Source organism: Homo sapiens, chromosome 9 (genome assembly GCF_000001405.40).
Source record: "Homo sapiens chromosome 9, GRCh38.p14 Primary Assembly".
NCBI lineage: Eukaryota > Metazoa > Chordata > Mammalia > Primates > Hominidae > Homo > Homo sapiens.
The window spans coordinates 118,961,673-118,982,441 of record NC_000009.12 but is presented as its reverse complement, the minus strand read 5'-3'; the positions used below and the strand labels follow the sequence as shown (position 1 = coordinate 118,982,441).

The window sequence follows — 20,769 nt, the reverse complement described above, 5'->3', positions numbered from 1 at the left end:
TTCTCCAGATAACTCAAATATAACTCCCTACAGACCAAAAATGGTTTTTAAATTTTAATTTAACAATTTTAGATAGAAGCTTCTGTGAGTTACTTTACTAATTTTCTATTTTTTAGTAATTGCATCATGTTACATGTAATTGAAGTATTATTTTATGAAATGGAATCATCATTACAAACATTCATGTGCATGCTGAATCATTTCAACCTCTTTCTAGAAGGCTCAGAATGCTGTAACTTCTACTATTATTCCTTAGTTCTATTTGTTTTGTATTTGTTTTGTATCATTCTTACTTTCACCCATTAGTTGCATACCTGGAGCAGTCCCTCTTATTGTTTTCATTGTGTATTTGCCTAAAACTTATCTTAAATAGTGCTGATTCTGCCTGTCTTCTATAACGATAAAAAACAAGTAACACAGATATGTTCCATTTACTTAAAAGTAAAGTGAAAATAAATAGGGTCTGAGGATATTTTCTAAAGAATATACATGAACATTACTGCACAGATACTAGGTACCAATTTTTAACTGCTCATAAGTCTTTTACTATTTCACCTTTTAAACTTTCAAGTAGTATTATTATAAGGAAATGACATTGTTGTTTGGGTGGGTAGCACAGGCAAAGTAGGGATTGTGTAATATTTCCTGTAGAGCCAGAAGCAGTGAGAGTAGGGAAGGATGGAAAAGAAGAAGACAAGAAAGGATTTAAAAAAGAATCAATGGAATATCAAAGTCAAATGAAAGGGAGGAGATTTTGGAAATGGATTTGCTCCTTTAGACGATTTATTCCACCTATATTATTATCATGTGGTAGAAAAATATTCTTCAAAGGAGGATTCTTTGAGAATGTGTAAGAACGTTTCTCAGGTGAAGAGGTTCTTTCTGTTTTTACTATTTTTAGCCAGACTAACATCTGGTATATCAAATAACGGTTATCTTGAAAAACAGAATGCCTGCATCCACATGTAACAGCACTTTCCTGGTATCAGAGACCCTCTCTGGAAGGAACTAATTGATTTTCTCTAGGGAGAAAAAAAAATGTAGACTCCAGTTCTTAGTTTTCCCATTGTTCTAGGTTAGGCTTCTGATAAGAAAGCCTTATCAGATACAGTTGTCCCTTGGTAGCTACAGGGGATAAGTTCTAAGACCCACTCCAGGATACCAAAATCTGGGGATGCTCAGGTCCCTTATATAAAATGACATAGTATTTGCATATGACCCATGCACATCATCTTGTACATTTAAATTATATCCAGATTACTTACAATACCTAATATAAATGCTATGTAAATAATTGTTAAGCTTTATTGTTTTTAAGATTTGTGTTGTTTTTTATTGTCATGTTTTTTTTTAAATTTTTGATCCAAAGTTGATTGAATCCACGAATGTGGAACCCATGGGTATGGGGGGCTGATTATATTCTCTTCTCCAGTATTCTCCATCTACTGTTGCAATGAGCTCAATGAAGCAGACAGTTAGTAATCATTAATACCCGCCTCTACCTTTGCTATACTTACTGTCCCAATTGCTTGACAAAACTTGAGAAGATCTTCACAATCTGAGCTGGAAAACTTTTTGTTTCTGAGGATTTTGATCTGTAACATAAGGGTAATCTTATCTAACTCAGTGTTTCTCATTTTAATATAAATAGGGATTAACTAGACATTTTGTTAAAATGTAGATTCTCATTTAACATCCCTGAGATGTGGCCAGATGCTGCATTCCTATCATTCTATTTAGTTCCTCTGTGTCACACACACACACAGAGGCAGAGAGAGAGAGAGAGAGAATTACTGTTATTTTCTAATAACATATACTAAAATAGAACACACAGAGTATAGATGAATTTTTTTTTAAGTATAAAGATGTTGGGATCTGAAAGTCTGGGTCCAGTCCTGTAATTTTAGGCAAATTACTTCCTTTCTTGAGTCACCACTTCCTGACCGATAGAATCAAAATGACTGCCCATATTACAAAAGTTAAATCAGAAAATGTATGTAAATGTCCTGGTATTGATTCCGGCAATCAATATATGACAATTTTATTATATTGTTACAAAAGGCACAAGATGCAGATAGTGGTATCTCATTTTATACAACATGTGTGTTCCAAGATGGTTTCCAATTAGATTCAGAAGACTCAAAGAGGAAAAAAAGCATAATGAGATAATTAGTATGATAAAATGGAAATGTTTTACTTGCAATCAGTACAAAAGACATTTGTGTCAAAGATGATATGGGAAGGAATTTGAGGATGTATAGCCCAACCTTCATTTACTTTCAATAAAAATAATAAAAGGAATATATTTTCATGCTTGTTAGAATTATGAAGTTAAAGTTTATAAATCCATATGTATTTTATTTATTCAGAATAGTTCAGACTGAATTGGGTGGAGGTCTTCCTTGGTGCTATTTATGAAAAAAAAAAAAAAAAAAAAACACGTTTTGCTGTGAAATTAAGAGTGTGAAGCACATCATACAGAGGAACAGGAGTACAGAGAGGGTGCAGAGAGAGAAATAGTTAACTGTTAGATTGAGTCATAGTTTACTGCTCACTCTTTTTATCCACATTAAACCATTTTCCTAGCAGCACATCCAAGCCACTGGATCAGAAGCTTTAAATGTAGCCTTTGCTATAGCAGGTAATATGTAAATGTATGCTCTAGAGCAGGGATTGATAAAGTATGACTGTAGGGCTAAATTTGGCCCTCTTTATCTTGTCATGAATTAGGTTTTATTGTAATATAGCCATGCTCATTAATTAATATATTGTCTATGGCTGCTTACACACTGCAACAGCAGAGTGGAATAGTTTCAATAGAGACTGTATAGACTGCAAAGTCTAAAATATTTGCTATCTAGCCCTTTTCAGAAAATGTTTGTTCAACTCTGCTCCAGAGCAAAATAAATCTAACATCTGTGAACTTCCTACTATATGCCGTGTACGTCATCCATGTAATTTTAATCAAGACCATTCTATAAAAATGTCCTGAATGACTTCTGTTTGCCAGGAAACATTGTGAATGCAGCAATAATCAGTAAGACACAGTTGTTGCTATCATGCATTTTGGAGGTGGGTAAAAGTAATGGCTCTTATTAATGTGAATTGTAGGGTGTTACGGACTCACATAGTTAGGATATGTAACTGATGTGGTCATGGAACACAATACAACTTGAGATAAATATTATCATCTCCATTTTAACAACAAAGAAACTGAGACTCAGAGAAGTTAGAAAATTGCCCAAAGCTAAGTAGCTAATATGTGTCAAAGCTATGTTTTCTTTTTTTTTAAGAAAAAATGTATATAACTAGAGACCCATGCTAATTGCCCAACTGATACCGTGCTTCTGGAGTTTGTCTCAGAATTGTTTTCTCCTTGGTGTCTTATGCCTCACCTTTTCTGCCTTGTTCTATTCTATGGTTTCAGGAAAATGGATTTAATTCTGACCATATTTCTGACATATTGTGATTCCTTAACTCCATTTTCTCTTTTGCATCTATGCTTTCCTAGTGCCCGACCCAACTGCCTTGACATTCTCACTGATATCTCATTTATGTGCCTCGATCTGAAGTTTGTGGTGATCCCTGGTTCTGCTTTGATCACATTTTTTTTTCTCTACTCAGGTTTTCCCTCCATATTTCAGAGCCAAAGGATCTGTGAGCCCCAGCTGTCAATCACTTTGGAACTAATAAATAAGTATTGAATATGTTGAGTCAATTTATCTTTGGGATACAGATGGAAACTACTGATTATAAAAGTCTTGCCTGTTTCTTTTGTAATTCCATAAGAAGTGATATTCTAAAATCATTACAGGGAAGATCCCCGGGCATGGAATTAGTAGATCTGAGTTTAGGTTCTACCTCTAGCATTGAGTGTTATTTTCTCATTTGTAAAATTTAGATAATTATAGGTATCTTACAACTTACTATGAAGTTAAAATAAGCCAACTTTTGTGATGAAACTTTGTATAAATACAGGTAATTGCACATATATAGGACAATGATAATAACATTCATTTTACCATTAGGTATTGTGTAAATGCATTTAAACTGTCATGCTAATTCTTTAATATTGCAATGTGATGAAGAGAAAAAAAATAAGAACATGGAAGATTAGAAGCAAGACTTGAATACAAAATTCTGTTTTAGGAGAAAGCAGTAGCTCTTGGAAGAGCCAAAAGACACAATGTCAGCAAACCTCTAATCCATGGGAAAATCAGGCACAAAGGAGAACATATCCCCTCATGCCCAACTCTTTCTTGAAGACCTAGAAGTCGTTTCTATAGCTCAAAGGAACTAAATGTTTCCTCTTTCCTAATGCATATGTTATTGTTTGTAAAATCAAATGTGTTTTATAAATAAAATAATGTTTTCTTTTTTTATCTGATTAGTTTTCATTAAATCAAAAGTGTAGACAATGACAATTAATGGGTATGGGTTTCTTTTGGGGGTGATAAAAATATTCTAAAATTGACTGTGATTATGGTGGCACAGCTCTGCAAATATGCTAAAAACCACTGAGTTGTATATTTTACACTGATTCACTGTGACACTCACCATGCTATTCACCACATATGTGCTGTAGTTCATTCATCTAGGCACATGGAAGAATTGCATTTTTTTACCACTTTGAAATTAGGCATGCCAGGTGACTTTCTTTGGCCAATGAACTATGAACGAGAGTGCACATGTCACTTAAAGATGGAGGCTTTCATAAGCCAGCATGTGATTTAATGTGTTTTATTTTTCTGCTTTGGTAATCATAGTTGAGAATGTTAAGATTAAGTCTCCATCAGGCTGTGTCTCTACTCACACTTGTTGGACAAGCAGTATAAGCAGAAGCAGAAGTTAAACCTTTATTTAAAATCTACTAGAATGTTGGTGTTGTTTGTTACCCAGCATAACCTAGCCAATCTGGACTGATAAATCTAGTCAGTTATAAACTAAACTGAAAGATCCCAAGCCTTTCTTGCAGAAGAGTTTGCAAGGCAAGTTTACCACCTACCAAAGAGCAGGTCAACATGTTAGGCACCTCTAAAAATAGTAGTAGTTTCAGGAGGGATGAAAAGTAGCAGACATTCTCAATTTCTTCTCTAAAATTCACCAATTAAATAAGCCACTCTTCCCTGAAAGAATAAAGAGAAAGGTCATGAGTTAGTCAAGTGAGAGTTCCATCATAGACACATGATTCCAGAGGAATTCTTCTGACATGGAGGTAATTCACCTGCACTCACTCAAGGGATGTGAGATATCTCAAGTGAGAAGTGTTACGACTCCCCCCACTCCTCTTCATTTCTACCATTCCTTATCCTCTCCTCTTTCGCCTCATGTTGTGAGGATTAAGTGAGGTGACATATAAAAACATGCTTTGTCAATTGCACAGTATTATATTACTATGAGTTATGACTTTCTGTTTTGTGAAATAAAAACAGTGTTCCCTGCCCTGTTAACCTTCCAGAATTACACAGAATCCCATTTGGATTGGTGCATGCAAACACAATAACCTCATAAATTTTAAATGACTACACATATCTAAACCATTAGTATTATTTTAATGTTTTCTTATTAATAATGTATGAATTTATTTGCTACCACACTGTACAAGTTACTAAATCTCTAATATTAAACTAGTGGCTCCTCTTTTGAGGAGTTTCTCTTTTCTGAAAAATGGGGAGAATATGGCATCTACATGTTAAGAACTAAATGAGAAGTTACATGTAAATTGCTCCACAGTGTCTAGAATTTTATCCTTAGTAAGTTATAGCTGTTACTGCTAGGCTTATCTTTATAAAAACTATACAACATTTTGAGTCAACACTCTGTAGATGTAACGTTATTTGCCATTGGCTGAAAGGTTATCTCATTAGCTGAGATAAGGCAGGGTTACACGTGAAGAAGACCACTGTGCATACACATGAAAGCCAATACCTCAATCCATCTTCTGTCTGTAGTAACAATGGTGTGTTCACCTTCTCTTGAATCGTGTTTCCACCTATCAATTTGTCTTCAAATTTCAAAATCAGGCTGGACCTTTTAGGGTCCAAAGTGAAGATTCCCTCTTCCAGTCCTTGTTGGATATGCAATATCAGCAGAAATTAAACTTTTTCTTTAGCCCACTGAATTGTTGTCATTGTTGCCCAATATAACCTATCACATCCTGAAAAATAAATTTAGCCAGTTATAGAGCAAGCTGGACAACTCAAAACCTCCTCTGCAGAAAAGTTTGTTTTGGAGAGGGTGGAAAAAAGAAATGTTACTTATTGACTTCCCAAATTTCCAATTCTTGGTTAATAGAGATGACTAAGATAACTTGAGGTTTGTATGTTTGGATCTTCTCAATTTGCCCATTGCTATTTGTAATACAAAATTCTGGTTAGACTTCTTGGTAGAGGCAATGATAAGAAAAAGGAAATGAATAACAATAGGATGAAGAAAATTAATTAACCTAGGGAATTTTAAGTCTGGAAACTACATGAGGTAGTGTTCAGTTTCATATGTCATACTTGGCAGCCACAGGTAGTGCTGTAACTGAGCTTAGATTTCTTTGCAACAAAGGGAAATAAAACCAATGCTACAAAAAATGTAGCTGCCCCCTCTTGCCACCAAATAAAAGAAATGGAGCTGACTAATCCAAATTCTTTTTGGATTTAACATCACTAGTTTGGTTTTTAATTTAAATTGTGACAAAGGTCAAAAACGTTGCATTTTTATATTCGTTTTTTGAAGTTCTCAGGCAAAAAAACCCTACAATTTTAAAGAAGGAACAACAACAAAAAAAGAACTCTAAGACATGAAGGGAGATTCATTACCTATAGAAAGAAACACAGGTGGGCTTGGGAAAACAAAGACAGAATTTGAACATTAAAACCAGAAAGGCAATAAAACAACTCCCATAAGAATGCATTTACTCAATGTGAAAAGTAAAGAAGATAGTAGAGGCTTTCAGAAATTAAAGTCAATCTACAATTTGTGACATGGCAAGGTAGAGGAGTCTAACATTTACTGAGCACCTACTGTGAGACAGTAATTGCACTACATTACTGTGAGCCTCATTTCCCCAGGAACATGTATTAAACACTTATTTGATGAGTACTTACCAATAATTTTACATACATAGCTTCATTTAATCTATTTTTTAAATTGCCAATCTGCTGACTTAATTTTTTCAGCTTTATTGATGTATAATTGAGAAATAAAAATAACATATTTTTTTAAGGTGTACAAAATAATTTGTTTTTTAAATTTTGTTTTTGGGGCATTTTCTTTGTGTTTTTGGATGTTTTTCTTTGAGACAGTGTCTCATTCTGTCATCCAGGCTGTAGTGCAGTGACAGGAGGATCATTGCTCACTGCAGAGTAGACCTCCTGGGTACAAGTGATCCTCTGGCCTCAGCCTCCAGAGTATCTGGGACTACAGGTGTGCACCACCACGCCTGACTAATTTTTGTATTTTTTGTACAGATGGAGTTTCACCATGTTGCCTGGTCTCGAACTCCTGGACTCAAGTGATCCTCCTGCCTTAGCTCCCAAAGTGCTGGGATTATAGGTATAAGCCACCATACCTGGCCCTTGATATACATATACACTGTGAAATGATTACTATGATCAAGCTAGCTAGCCTCACACAAATAATCTGTGTGTGTGTGTGTGTGTGTGTGTGTGTGTGTGTGTAGTAAGAATACTTAACATCTACTCTCTTAGAAAATTTCAAGTATATAACACATTCTTATTAACCGTAGCCACCATGCTATGCAATAGGTCTCCTGAACTTATTATTTACCTTTTATTAACCTCCCATTTCTCTTTCCTCCTGGCCCCTGGTAACCACCCTTCTATGAATTTGAATTTTTAGATCCCACATATAAATGAGATCATGTGTTATTTTTCTTTCTGTGTCTGGCTTATTTTACTTATCATAATGTCCTCCAGATTAATCCCTATTAAAATTCTAATAAAATTTTTATAGAAATAGAAAAAAATTAAATTATATGGAACTACAAAAGACCTCAAATAGCTAAAGCAATTTTGAGAAAAAACAAAGCTGAAGGCATCACACTTCCTGATTTCAAATTATATAACAAAACTATAGTAATGAAAACAGTATGATACAGGCATAAAAACAGACACATAGATCAATGAAACAGAAAAGAAAGCCCAGAAATAGGTCTATGCATATACCTCAACTAATCTTCAACAAAGATGCCAAGGAAAGGGAGAAAGGATGGTTTCTTTGATAATGGTGTTTTTAGTAAACTGAATATTCAGATGCAAAAAAAAGAAAATTGGATCATTACCTTATACCATACACAAAATTAAAATCAAAATGGATTAAAGATTTAAATGTAATACTCCAAATTGCAACACTTCTAGAAAAGATAGAGGAAAATCTTCATGACATTTGTCTTGGCAATGATTTTTTGGATATGACACCAAAAACAGAGGCAACAAAAGCAAAATTAAGCAACTAGGATCACATCAAATTAAAAGTTTGTTCATAGCAAAAGAAATAATTAACAAAATTAAAAGGCAACCTATGGAATAAGAGAAAATACTTGCAAACTGTGTATTCACTAAGGCTTACTATCCAAAATATACAAGGACTCATACAACTCAATAGTAAAAACACAAATTTTTTAAAAAAGAAAAACAGACAAAGAACCTGAATAGACATTTTTTAAAAAGATATAAAAAGGTATACAAATGGCTAACAGATATATTCAAAGGTGATCAATTTCTCTAATCATCAGAAAGACGTAAATCAAAACTACAATGAGATATGATTTCACACTGTTAGGATGGCTATTATCAAAAAGTCAAAAGCTAACAAGTGTTGGCAAGAATGTAGAGAAAAGGGAATCCTTTTATATTATTGTTGAGATCTAAAATTAGTACCAACCATTATAGGAAACCATATAGAAGTTTCTTAAAAAATTAAAAATAAAAATACCATATGATCCAGCAGTCTCACTATTGGGTATATATCCAAAGGGATGAAATCAATGTGTTGGAGAGTTATCTACTCTCCCATGTTCATTGCAGCAGTAATCACAATGGGCCAAAATATGTACACAACCTAAGTATCTACACACACACACACACACATATACACAAACACACACACACACGTGCAGGAATATTATCCATCCTTAAAAAACAGTAAATCATATCATTTAATCTTAACTACAACTCTAACTAGGCTGTTTTTATTTTCAGATGAGGAAAGATAAAGTTAAGTAAACTCCAATAGTCAGCCAGCCAATAACTTGGTGATGTTAAGATTTGAACCCTAATCTGATTAACCCCAAAGTTCAGGCAGTTTCCACAATGCAGAAGTGTCCCCCGAGCCTCTCTCGTCTCTTGTCCTCCATGGTTTATGAAGCTTATCCACAGCAGCCCTCTGCTGACATACCACTAAGACCAAGGCTAGCAATTTGTCCTGTAAAGCTGGATTCCACAGAATGTTTCCCCTTGAGCTGGAAGAGAATCAGATGCTTTGCAACTTCCATTCATTGGTATTAAAAGAGTCTTCTAAAACAACACAGAACAATAGTCATTTCTAGATTGAAAATAGCAATTTAGGCACTATTCAGTCTTCACTATAATATTTCTTGATCCTTCAAATCATTAGTTCAATGCTCCTTTAAATGTGATGGTTGTAAAGGGACTGTTCTCTGTTTTGTATAGAGAAAATGTGCTTATTTTCTTCTCATTCCCTGAGTACAGCATACAAATTTAAAAGTTTCACTATAAGATTCATAAAACAAATTCTCTATCACTTAAGACTCCTCTATTTATAATTATTTGCATTTCCCAATTGCGAAAGAAGTGATACAAGCTATAGTGAAAAAATGGCATTTAATTGACACACAGTGGAGGATAAAATGACATAATTATGTCCAACATGCATGAATATTTTAGAACTTTGCCCAGAGAATGTTAAATAAATCTCTTAACATTCTGCAACTGCAGCAAGCTTTTGGTTCCTCTCTCAATCTACTTTTGGCTCAGTGGCTTTTTAAGAGAATTTTGTCACTAGACTCATGAGGGCTATTCCTTATATTTAGTCATCTACTCCATTTCTATCATTCTCAAAGTAGCTTAATATATCTATTCCTTTGACTCTCATGGATTATTTATTAAACACAATTTTTAACTTGTGAATTTTAAAATTCATAATTTTGCTGTCTCCTACTTAGAGAAAGTAAAATTATTGTTTGAAGGGTAAACACAAATAGAATCATTTTTATTTTTCAAAAACACTCTTATTCTCATTGCACACCACATGACCACTGTAACTTAAGAGATATGTCCATACCTCCAGCTCTTTTGCAGAATGTTTAACATCCAAAAGACCCTCAATAAATATCTAATAATCAAACATAGTTATGAGAATTTCAAGGGAATTCCAATTGGCTATTTGCATGATGGGAAGGATGGGGCACGGACATGAACTTTTGAACCTTTGCATTTCTAACATTCAGTGATTTTCTTTTTTTTTTTAGATTTTTATTTTTTTATATATATTTTTATTATACTTTAAGTTCTAGGGTACATGTGCACAACGTGCAGGTTTGTTACATATGTATACATGTGCCATGTTGGTGTGCTGCACCCATTAACTCATCATTTACATTAGGTATATCTCCCAATGCTATCCCTCCCCCCTCCCCCCACCCCACAACAGGTCCCAGTGTGTGATGTTCCCTGCCCTGTGTCCAAGTGTTCTCATTGTCCGATTCCCACCTATGAGTGAGAACACGTGGTGTTTCGTTTTTTGTCCTTGCGGTAGTTTGCTGAGAATGATGGTTTCCAGCTTCATCCATGTCCATACAAAGGACATGAACTCATCATTTTTTATGGCTGCAAAGTATTCCACGGTGTATATATGCCACATCTTCTTACTCCAGTCTATCATTGATGGACATTTGGGTTGGTTCCAAGTCTTTGCTATTGTGAGTAGTGCATGTGTCTTTATAGCAGCATGATTTATAATCCTTTGGGTATATACACAGTAATGGGATGGCTGGGTCAAATGGTATTTCTAGTTCTAGATCCCTGAGGAATCGCCACACTGTCTTCCACAATGGTTGAACTAGTTTACAGTCCCACCAACAGTGTAAAAGTGTTCCTATTTCCCCACATCCTCTCCAGCACCTGTTGTTTCCTGACTTTTTAATGATCGCCATTCTAACTGGTGTGAGATGGTATCTCATTGTGGTTTTGATTTGCATTTCTCTGATGGCCAGTGATGATGAGCATTTTTTCATGTGTCTGTTGGCTGAAGGAACTTTGGCACTGTAAGTTTAGCCAATGGCTCTCTGTTGTTCTTCAGATACAATTTTAAAACTTTCGCAAAGCTTACAAGGCCTGGCATAAACTGGCTTCTGACTGTGTCTTCACCCCAACTCCTTTCATACTTGCTTCTGTTATATCCTCCCCTCTAGCCTTGTTTGAGGTTTACAAATAAGTTGAAGTAGTATACACCAGAGCTTTTGCACAGGCTGCTCTCTTCCTGCTTAGAATGCTTTTCCCCTCCCTTGGCTAACTCCCTCACTTCAATGTCACTTTCCTAGAGAGGCCTTCCCTGTATACTCCCAGCATAAGACCAAGCATATAGTGGATCCTCAATAGCAAAGGTCTGAATTATTAAATGTCCATTATCAAATATACCACCCACAACGTGTATTATCTTTACTTGACTGAGAGACATAAGAAATACCCTTGAAGAAGTTTTACATTAAGACTAAATTCAAAAGGATCTTTGCTTGTTTTGATGAAATAATTAGTATTGGGTATGTTCACACAGCACCTTTTCTTGAGGAGGAGCTAAGTTGTTTTTTTTTTTTTTTTTTTGAGATGGAGTCTTACTCTGTTGCCCAGGCTGGAGTGCAGTGGCATGATCTCGGCTCACTGCACCTTTCGCCTTCCCAGTTCAAGCGATTCTCCTGCCTCAGCCTCCCAAGTAGCTGGGACTACAGGCGTGTGCCACCATGCCCAGCTAATTTTTGTGCTTTTAGTAGAGATGGGGTTTCACCATATTGATCAGGCTGGTCTTGAACTCTTGACCTCGTGATCCACCCGCCTTGGCCTCCCAAAGTACTAGGATTACATGCGTGAGCCACCGCGCCTGGCAGGAGGAGCTAACTTCTTTTTTGAAGTCTTAGGATAGCAAATGAGGTTTGGACTACATGTAAATGAGCATGAGAACATATGACTTCTCATCCAAGTTACTTAGAGAACATTAGGGTTTATGTTTTGCTTGGAATAGCACCATGAGGTATGCAAGTCTTTTCTCATTATCCATCTTAATGGATGAGGGAACAAAGAAGTAATGAGGGAGATTACAAAGAAGTAATGAGGGAGAAATGGGATACAGAGGAGTCAGATAAGACGCAATTCTGCTGAATTTTTGGTTTCTGACTTTTTTAAAAAATATAATTATTATTACTCGTAAATAACTCAAGAAGGAGGACAGTGCCAGCTGCCTATAGCAACAAGGAAGCATGAAAGTGTTGCATTCTTCTTGTCTTCATGATGGAAATGGCTATAATCTCAATGAATAGCTGCCAGTCCAGGGTTTGAATTCAGTTTCAGGTGATGGATCACATTGATCAACCAGAGGAGCCCTACCTTATACCTTAAAGTAAAGGCCATTCTATCGTTATAGGAAAAGCATACCTGGAGTTAGGTAACACTAACTCATACCCATGATCAATGCAGAATAGGCAGGTTATGCTGAATTATTAACAACCCCCTAATTTCAGAGGCTGAAAACAACAGAACTTTATTTCTTTTGGAAAATACGTGTCCCTTGCAGGTCAGCAGAGTGCTCTGCTTATTATAGTTAATTAGGGAATCTGGTTGATAGAGGGTACATCCCTACACATATTTCTAGGATCACCAGAGCGCTACAGTGTTTCACCCTGACACTCTAATGTTTCCTCATCAAAATGACACACAGCATGTCTGTTCATATTTTTTGATCAAATCCAGTCGCATGACAATGTCTAACTTGAAGAAGGCAGGAAAATGTGATATTTTTCATGTGCCAGGAACGGAGAAAATCGAGAGTAGTTTTGAACAGTCCTAAAAACTATGGCAGTGTGCCTTTCTGGTGGCAAATATTTCTTTATTTCTTCTTCCTACTTGTAAAACAAATTCATTCCCAAGCCAAGAGTAACCACTTCAGAGACAGCTCATATAGCCAGGGTGACCAACTTGAAGTCCAGATCCCTGAATGGTTTCCTGTTGCTTCTTCATCATTTCCAGAGGTAGTTCCTTTTGGTTCAGAGATTTGAACAAAAAAAATTGAACCAAGAAGTTATATGATAAGCCAGGAAAACGTGCACAGGTTTACTGCAATGAACACTCCCAACCATAAATAGAGGTAATACAATCATTGGTCTATAAGCAATTCTGAAATCCTATGGAGAGATGTAACAAGGTCCTCCTGGGAGTAGAAATGTTCCCATAACTGTGCTCCATTCTGCTCCCTGGTTGGAGCTCCTGATTCTTCATTTCCTAGAGCCCATGATCCTGTCCTCTGGAGTTCTTCCATTTCCATTAGCATCCTTGGTCACATCAAAAGTTGGCATTAGAGAATATGCTCTCAGAGTGGCTGAGCATTGGTTTCAGCCTCTTTTCTGCTTAGGAGTTTGACAGCCCTAGTGTTATTTTAAATCACAAATAGTCACAGACTGTTTGTGATTTATTTGCAGCGCCACTCAACATGTTAGTAGGCTTCATATCTCTTTGGATCGAGTCATTTCTGTGTGCCAATACCACCCTCACTGTTCTTTCCTAGATTTGTTTCTTAGATTTGCTGTGTCTTTGTTTGCTTGCTTCCTTTCGCTCCACCCCTTGTAACCTAAATTACAGCAACTTTAACCTGCAAGGCTTCCATAGGCAAGCCGAGATTTTTGTCTGTCTTTCCCCGGCAGCATTTTGTGCAATTGAATGCATGTATTGGATATCAAGCTCTTAATTATACCTTTTCTCTGAAACACCTTAATTGACTGAGAAACTTAACAGTGGTTTTGATGGCCATTTCTTTCATTTGATTCTTGCTGCAAGTCTAACGGTTTTTTTTTTCTTTGGCTTTTGTTAAATTCAATAACATTCTCAATGATACCTTTTCATAGACTGGGTTTGAAAAAGTTACCTCTCTCAGTCCTACAAATTCCTGAACTTCTTAAATCTAGTCCCTTCTGCTTTTAGTCAATTATTTTCAGAACTCATTCTTTTCTAGTAATATATGGCCAAATGTTGCCAAAAACATCTACATCACATACCAAATCACATTAGAATGATGACGATGATGATGATGATGATGATGATGATGATGATGATGATGATAACAGCAAAAGCTCTTAAATCTCAATGCTTTAATACAAGTCCAGCTTGGGTAAGCAGAAATTCTCTGCTCATTGTCATCTCTTGGCCCAGGTAGTTAGAGTTACCACCTGGACACAGGCTTCCACTGTCACTGCAGAAACGCGAAGAGAACATAAGAGAGGATGTGCTGTCTTATAAAAGCTTCTGCAAAAAGAAAATACAGAATGCTTCTGTTCACATTTTATTAACACATCCCATGACCATGTCCAACTTCATATCAGTGAGGAAGCACAATACTAAGACATAGCTCACGGAAGGGGGAACCCAAAATATTTAGTGACCAGCATGAATAACCACAACACTCCATGCAGCTGAAGGATATTCTGGAATATGCTTTTTTTTTTTTCCTTTCTTCCTTTTTTTTTTTTTGGCTCAATGTACCAGGCAAGAATAATGAATTTAGAAGATCACTAGATGCTTCATTAAATTCATGCTTATAAATATAAAGAAATACGTTTAGAACAATGTAAGTGTTAGGTTAAATATTGCACAGCTGTGTTTGATTGTTCAAGTGAAATGGAGAGTGAATCAGTCGTATACAACCTTAGTAACTGATAAGGAACACTGCTATACTGAGTTAGCTTCACAAAATGGGAGAATCTGCCTTACCTCTGGGGCAGTCTGACACTATGGAATACTCTGGTCAGGCTGAACTGCCACAAAGGTTGGGTGGAACTTATTCTTTGATAGGCTGAGGGAAGATGACCCAGCACCTTTGGAGTAACTGATGAGGGATTTTTCTTTTTCTTTTTTTTACATATTGTTCATTCTGTTGGAATGCATTAGTTCTTTCTCTGTCCAGATGAGATTGTTTGGGGTTGGCCCACTAGCTAGATTTATTCTCCTTACTCCCACCTGAAACCTTGGAATTAGGGAGCACTGACATTTGGCAAATAAAAGTGCTCAATTGTGGATCCTGTCACAAAGCATAGTCTAAAATGAGGATGTTGAGACAGATCTATAACTATGGCTATTACCTGGCTAACGTTTTTTTGGCCATGACTGTAACTGTGACATTGGTAATTATGTGATCTTTAAAATACTATTAAATCATCTCCTGACTCTGTGGCCCCATCTTTAAGATAGTATGATTAATTACATCTACCTTGTAGAGTTTTTATGAAGATATTTATAACATACTAGTTGTATCAATTGCTGTACTAACATTAACACTTAGCATTGATTTCAGTAGTAATACTAATGTTGTTGTTGTTTATTGACTTTGCAGATCCACAAGGGAAACTCTCATGCATAGATGGAAGGAGAAATTAATATCACCATTCAAATTATTTCACCACTTCCATTTATGAATCAGTACAAACTGTACCAAGAATCAGCAATCTTGGGGGGATCACTTTGCTTGTGCACACTGCTAGAATTCACCTTTACCCTCCTGGTAGGGGTGGTGGTATCCATTTATTCTGGCCCAAATTCTAACATAAATATTTAGTATATAGGAGGATTTTCTGAAAATGATGACTGGTCATTATAATATGAAAGAGATTTTTGGAAAGCATTCTAGGTCTGGATAAAGTTGGTTATAGCCATCTGCCTGGAATGGTTTAAGTTCAAGCTTTAAGAAACAAAGTGAGTGGATATCTGTCAGAGCCCAGCAACAGATGGTACAAGTGATTCAAAACATTCCATGATTTTAAAATTATCACATTCTTATTTATCAGGGAAGCAAGATAAACTAGTGGTTTGGAGCATGGCAGCTGTATGAGGCTACCTCGGCTCACCTGACAACCTTATCAGTCACTAGCTGTGTGCTCTTGGGCACATTACTTAACTTCTGTTCCTGCATTTTTCTATTTCTACCATTTAGCATCATATCACCTGACTCATAGGGTTGTTGTAAGAATTAAATACCATTGTACATGTATAGTACTTAGAACAATACTGACACGGGACATAAATTTAAAAACTATTAACTACTTTTAATAGGATGGCACCTCAAATAGAGTATACTTTATGTGACTACATATTTGCTTTCTATATTTAGATAGCGAACAGCTTGGCGTTGGCTCAAGGTGTCACTTAGCACTGTTATAAAATAATATCAACAATGATAGTAGTAACAATGATAACGAGCATTGATTGAACATATACTATATCCTAAGAATTTTTAAGGTGATGCCTAAACATTATCTCATCTATTCTTGTTTTACCCTTGAAAAAATTGAGGTTTAGTCCATTTAAGAATTTTGTTTAGATGGGAAATCATAGGGCTTGACGGTTAACTTGGGTCTGTATGGTTGTAAATTCAATGCTGTTAACCAACAGGCTGTATTTATTCCATGACATACTCTACTGCTTCTTTTGAATTCTCAGCCCCCGCCGTAGCATCTACTTATTGAATGCTCCTTAAATGTTTGTAGAATTAAATGGGCTCTTAGTTTTGGGGAATGATGATTAAATATGATTGCTTAAGATTAAATTACCTGGGTACACTGAGCATATTTTAAAGAGTTCTTCATCCACTTGCCTCTCACTCTGTATTTCTTGTATTTTTTTTTTCTGAAATTTAATTCTGATCCTGTCTGTTCTTTCCTTGAAATCTTCCATAGCTCTCCATTTATTATAAGATAAAAGCCAATCTCTTAGTTTTGAGTGTTTTTTTTTCACAGTCTTTTTCCCTCTATTTCAGCTTCACAACAAAGCTGGTTAAGAAGAATAATGGTAACATGCATTCAATGTCAGCCAATGCTTTTATCTTGTTAAATTGCCCATTTAATTCTAAAATACCTAGTATGTAATCCAAGGGCTAGATGCTAATATTATTTCTGTTTCACAAGTGGGGCAAGTGAGGCACAGAGATATGGGTTAACTTGAAAGATGTCACATAACTAGTAAATGGTAAAGTGAAGTTCTAAACTCAGGGAATCTGGCTTCAGAGCCTGCAAACAGGACATTAGGTAACATTCTACAGTGTGGGATGGGAGCATATACAAATAAACCAATTCTTAATCTAGAAGCCAGAAAACTTGGCTGATGAAGTGTATCCAAAGAAGAATCTGTCATGAGTAGGCATTCATCAGTCAGAAAACACAGGAAATATCATTTTTGCTAGAGAGAACCACATTTGTGAAGACCTGGGAGAAAGAGAACAGGGAGAGATAGAGAACACAAGAAGAGAGAGACAGAGAGACCGCGAGTGTACACACATCTTTTTTAGAGAGCTTTGCAAACTATGTTAATGATAATGAAAAGACCCTGAGTTTTTAAGCAGAGAAAAGTAAGTGACATGTTGAGATTTGCAATGTTGGTAGCAATTCACCATGGCTGGAGAGAGGTTACAAGGACAGAAAGCCTGGAGGAAGGAAAATCAATTAGAAATGTGTGAAAGAAGGTGAGATGGATAGTGCCCTGGTCTTCAATAGTGATGGTGGAGATAAAAAATAGTGCTAGTGCAGATTTTAATGATATTTACAAAGTAGACTGACAAGACTGAATGTGGCAAGGAAGAGTTTAGAATTCAAGATGATTATGTGATATGGGTTGATCGTGTCCCCACTCAAATCTCATCCTGAATTGAGGTTCCCATAATCCCCGCCTGTCATGGGAGGGACCCGGTGGGAGGTAATTTAATCACGGGGTGGTTACCCTCATGCTGTTCATGCTGTTCTCATGATAGCGAGTGAGTTCTCAGAAGATCTGATGGTTTTATAAGGGGTGTCCCCCTTTATTCAGCTCTCATTCTTCTCCTTCCTGCTGCCATGTGAAGAAGGACATATTTGCTCCCCCTTCTGCCATAAGTGTAAATTTCCGGAGGCTTCCCCCGCCCTGTGAAACTGTGAATCAATTTAACCTCTTTCCTATATAAATTATGCAGTCTTGGCTATGTCCTTATAGCAGGGAGAGAATGGACTAATACATCATATTTGTTGGTTTTTACTTGAGCAACTATTTATTGAAAGGGTCATCAGGTTGAGGAGGAAGGTGGAAAATATGATGTGCAATAAATACGGTTTTGAACAAGTTGAGTTTGAGGAACTCTTAAAATGTCCATATGGAAAAATCTAACTAGGATTTATTCAGCATTCTCCCTCTCTCTATGTGAACAGGTTTCTTGTCTGTCTAATTCAGTCAATACTCAGATGCTAGAATTGGAGTGGTATCAGTCAGGTAGGCCACAGATATCTCAGAGGCTTTTACCAATGAAGTCTTTTGTTATGTTCATTTTCATATTCAGTGTGGGTGAGTGGGGCTCTGCTCTCTGTAACCACAGTAGTACTTCGACTAATGGAAGCTCCATTAAAACATAATTGTTCATAACCACTAAGCTGGCAAAAACTGACTCAAACACTATCTATTATTATTTGCACCTGAAAGTGACACATTTCATTTACCATAGCCGGTCACATGGCCACACCTAATTTTGACAGACAGGGAAGAAGGATCTTTGTTTAATATTACATTACTTGTTTTACAGTACTAATGATAATCATCAGTTACCAGTCTTAGTTGATAGCAAGATATATAAGTTGAATTATAAATATGAATATATTTACATTGATGTCTGGAGTTCAGAAGGCCAATCTGAGGTAGAGAGATTTTCGAGACTACTGAAATACCACATCTATGGTATTCACTTTGCTCGTCCTGTATCACCAAACCTGCCCCAGATTTAGCTCATGTGACCAGCTTTAGTGTCCACTATCTTTATAGCCTTATATTTAACTAACCTCATTATGTTTAATTACATGCTTTCATATGTAATTTTGCTATGTGACTGTAAGATCTGTGAAAGCAAGGTCCTTTCTCAGGCATCAATATATCCCAAGTCTTTGGAATAACAGCTAACTCAAGGCATCAAATTTCCATTTTTTTCTTTTCTTTTTTTAAGAGACAGATTTTGCTCTGTTGCCTAGGCTGGAGAGCAGTGGCACAATCATAGCTAATTACAGCCTCAACCTACTGGGCTCAAGGGATCCTCTTGCCTCAGCCTCCTGAGTGACTGGGAATATAGGAGCATGCCACCATGCCTAGTTAATTTTTGCAGAGATGGGGTCTTGCTATGTTTCCCAGGCTAGTCTCAAACTGCTGACTTCCAGCAATCCTCCCATCTTGGCCTCCAAAAGTGCTGGAACTACAGGAATGAGCCATTGTGCCCAGCCTAATACCTTTTTTTTTGGTAATTGAGGTATTTTTTTTTCTCTCCCTAATATTTCTCCCTTGATCAAAATGTGTACATGCACAGAGAAAATACATGCCCACGTAAATAATACCCCAACAACCTCACTGGGCCATCAAAATGGTCTGCTGAATTCGTATTGCATGTAAGTGGAAATCACCATGATAGTTCACAAGGGGGTATTGTGTACTCATTTTCATTTGAATAATCTGAATCATCTTTCTCTGTATCTTTCCAACACTTCAGCCTCTGCAATCTCCCAGCCACCGCTTCACCTCTTTTGCCTTCCAGATCTGGCTTCCTTCCTGACATTCCTTACGTTTATGCTCCACTGAGACAGAAAGACACAAATCCAGTTCCAGCAGAAAGCACAGATATGGAACAAGAGAAACATTTCAGTTAAACAGATTGAGTGTTACAGGGCCCAGAACCTATAAATGCATCTGTTCAACTGGTCTTTTTGTTGAATTAAAATTTGGTGAAGCTAGGTCAGCAAAATATAATGATGTCAGGACTTTCACAGAGATGAGGAAACTGCATTTCTAAACAAAAGCCTTCATTAGGTGATTTTTATTGAAGGGTTTATTTCTGCCTTTATGAACAAAAACATGTATATATCATATAGATATATTTAGTATCATTAATATTTCAATGTTGATCAGCCAAACTTATCAATAGCAACTATTGCCTCATAATAATAGGTACCACTCAATCAGTTGCTTTCTATGCATCAGACACTGTGCTGTTTTAAAATAAAGCCTTTATCCCTGGACTTCTCTATTTTCCGTGTGGATGAATTTCTACTCCAGTAACACTCCTGGCTTCCCATAGCAACCCTCATTCTAAGCTTCTCTCATAGCAGATAAGTGAGTCATCAACTGCTGGGTGACAGACATTGGTCTGTGTTTCCCAATTTGGTAGAGAGAGTTTATTACAACTCAGTGAATGCTAGGAATTCAGTCTCTTCCTTCCCTCTCCATCCAGTGATTCTGTAGGACATTGATTATGGATCACTTGACTGAGGACTTCACTTGTCCTTTTGATGCTATTGCAAGGCCTGAGGAGTATAGCAATGGGCTTTAGCCAGTCCATGTAGCCTCACACTAAACTAAACTGCACTGTTTGACAACTTTAAAAGTAATAAATGTAACATGTGATTTCAAACTGACTGGCTCCTTGATCTATTTCTGCCTGTGTCAGATTTAAGACAGACCTTCCTACACTATATATATATATATATAT

The 20,769-nt window shown here is 36.4% G+C and overlaps 1 long non-coding RNA gene across 1 annotated transcript in view, besides 1 other annotated feature; it reads right to left on the bottom strand.

The window, feature by feature from the left end:
• Positions 1 to 2,012: 2,012 nt before the first annotated feature.
• LOC101928849 (uncharacterized) overlaps positions 2,013 to 20,769 on the bottom strand; it is a 128,376-nt gene continuing 109,619 nt past the window's right edge. The window contains exons 6-8 of the long non-coding RNA XR_001746918.2: positions 5,929 to 6,157; positions 5,006 to 5,126; positions 2,013 to 2,138 (exon numbers count right to left, since the gene is read on the bottom strand). This is a non-coding gene — a long non-coding RNA (uncharacterized LOC101928849). The remainder of the gene's footprint in view (positions 2,139 to 5,005; positions 5,127 to 5,928; positions 6,158 to 20,769) is intronic.
• Positions 20,257 to 20,551: a silencer, noted in NCBI's record as "tiled region #1311; HepG2 Repressive non-DNase unmatched - State 24:Quies". NCBI's record gives its function as "represses a minimal TATA promoter and a strong SV40 promoter by Sharpr-MPRA in HepG2 cells {active_cell/tissue: HepG2}" and the evidence as "EXISTENCE:reporter gene assay evidence [ECO:0000049][PMID:27701403]".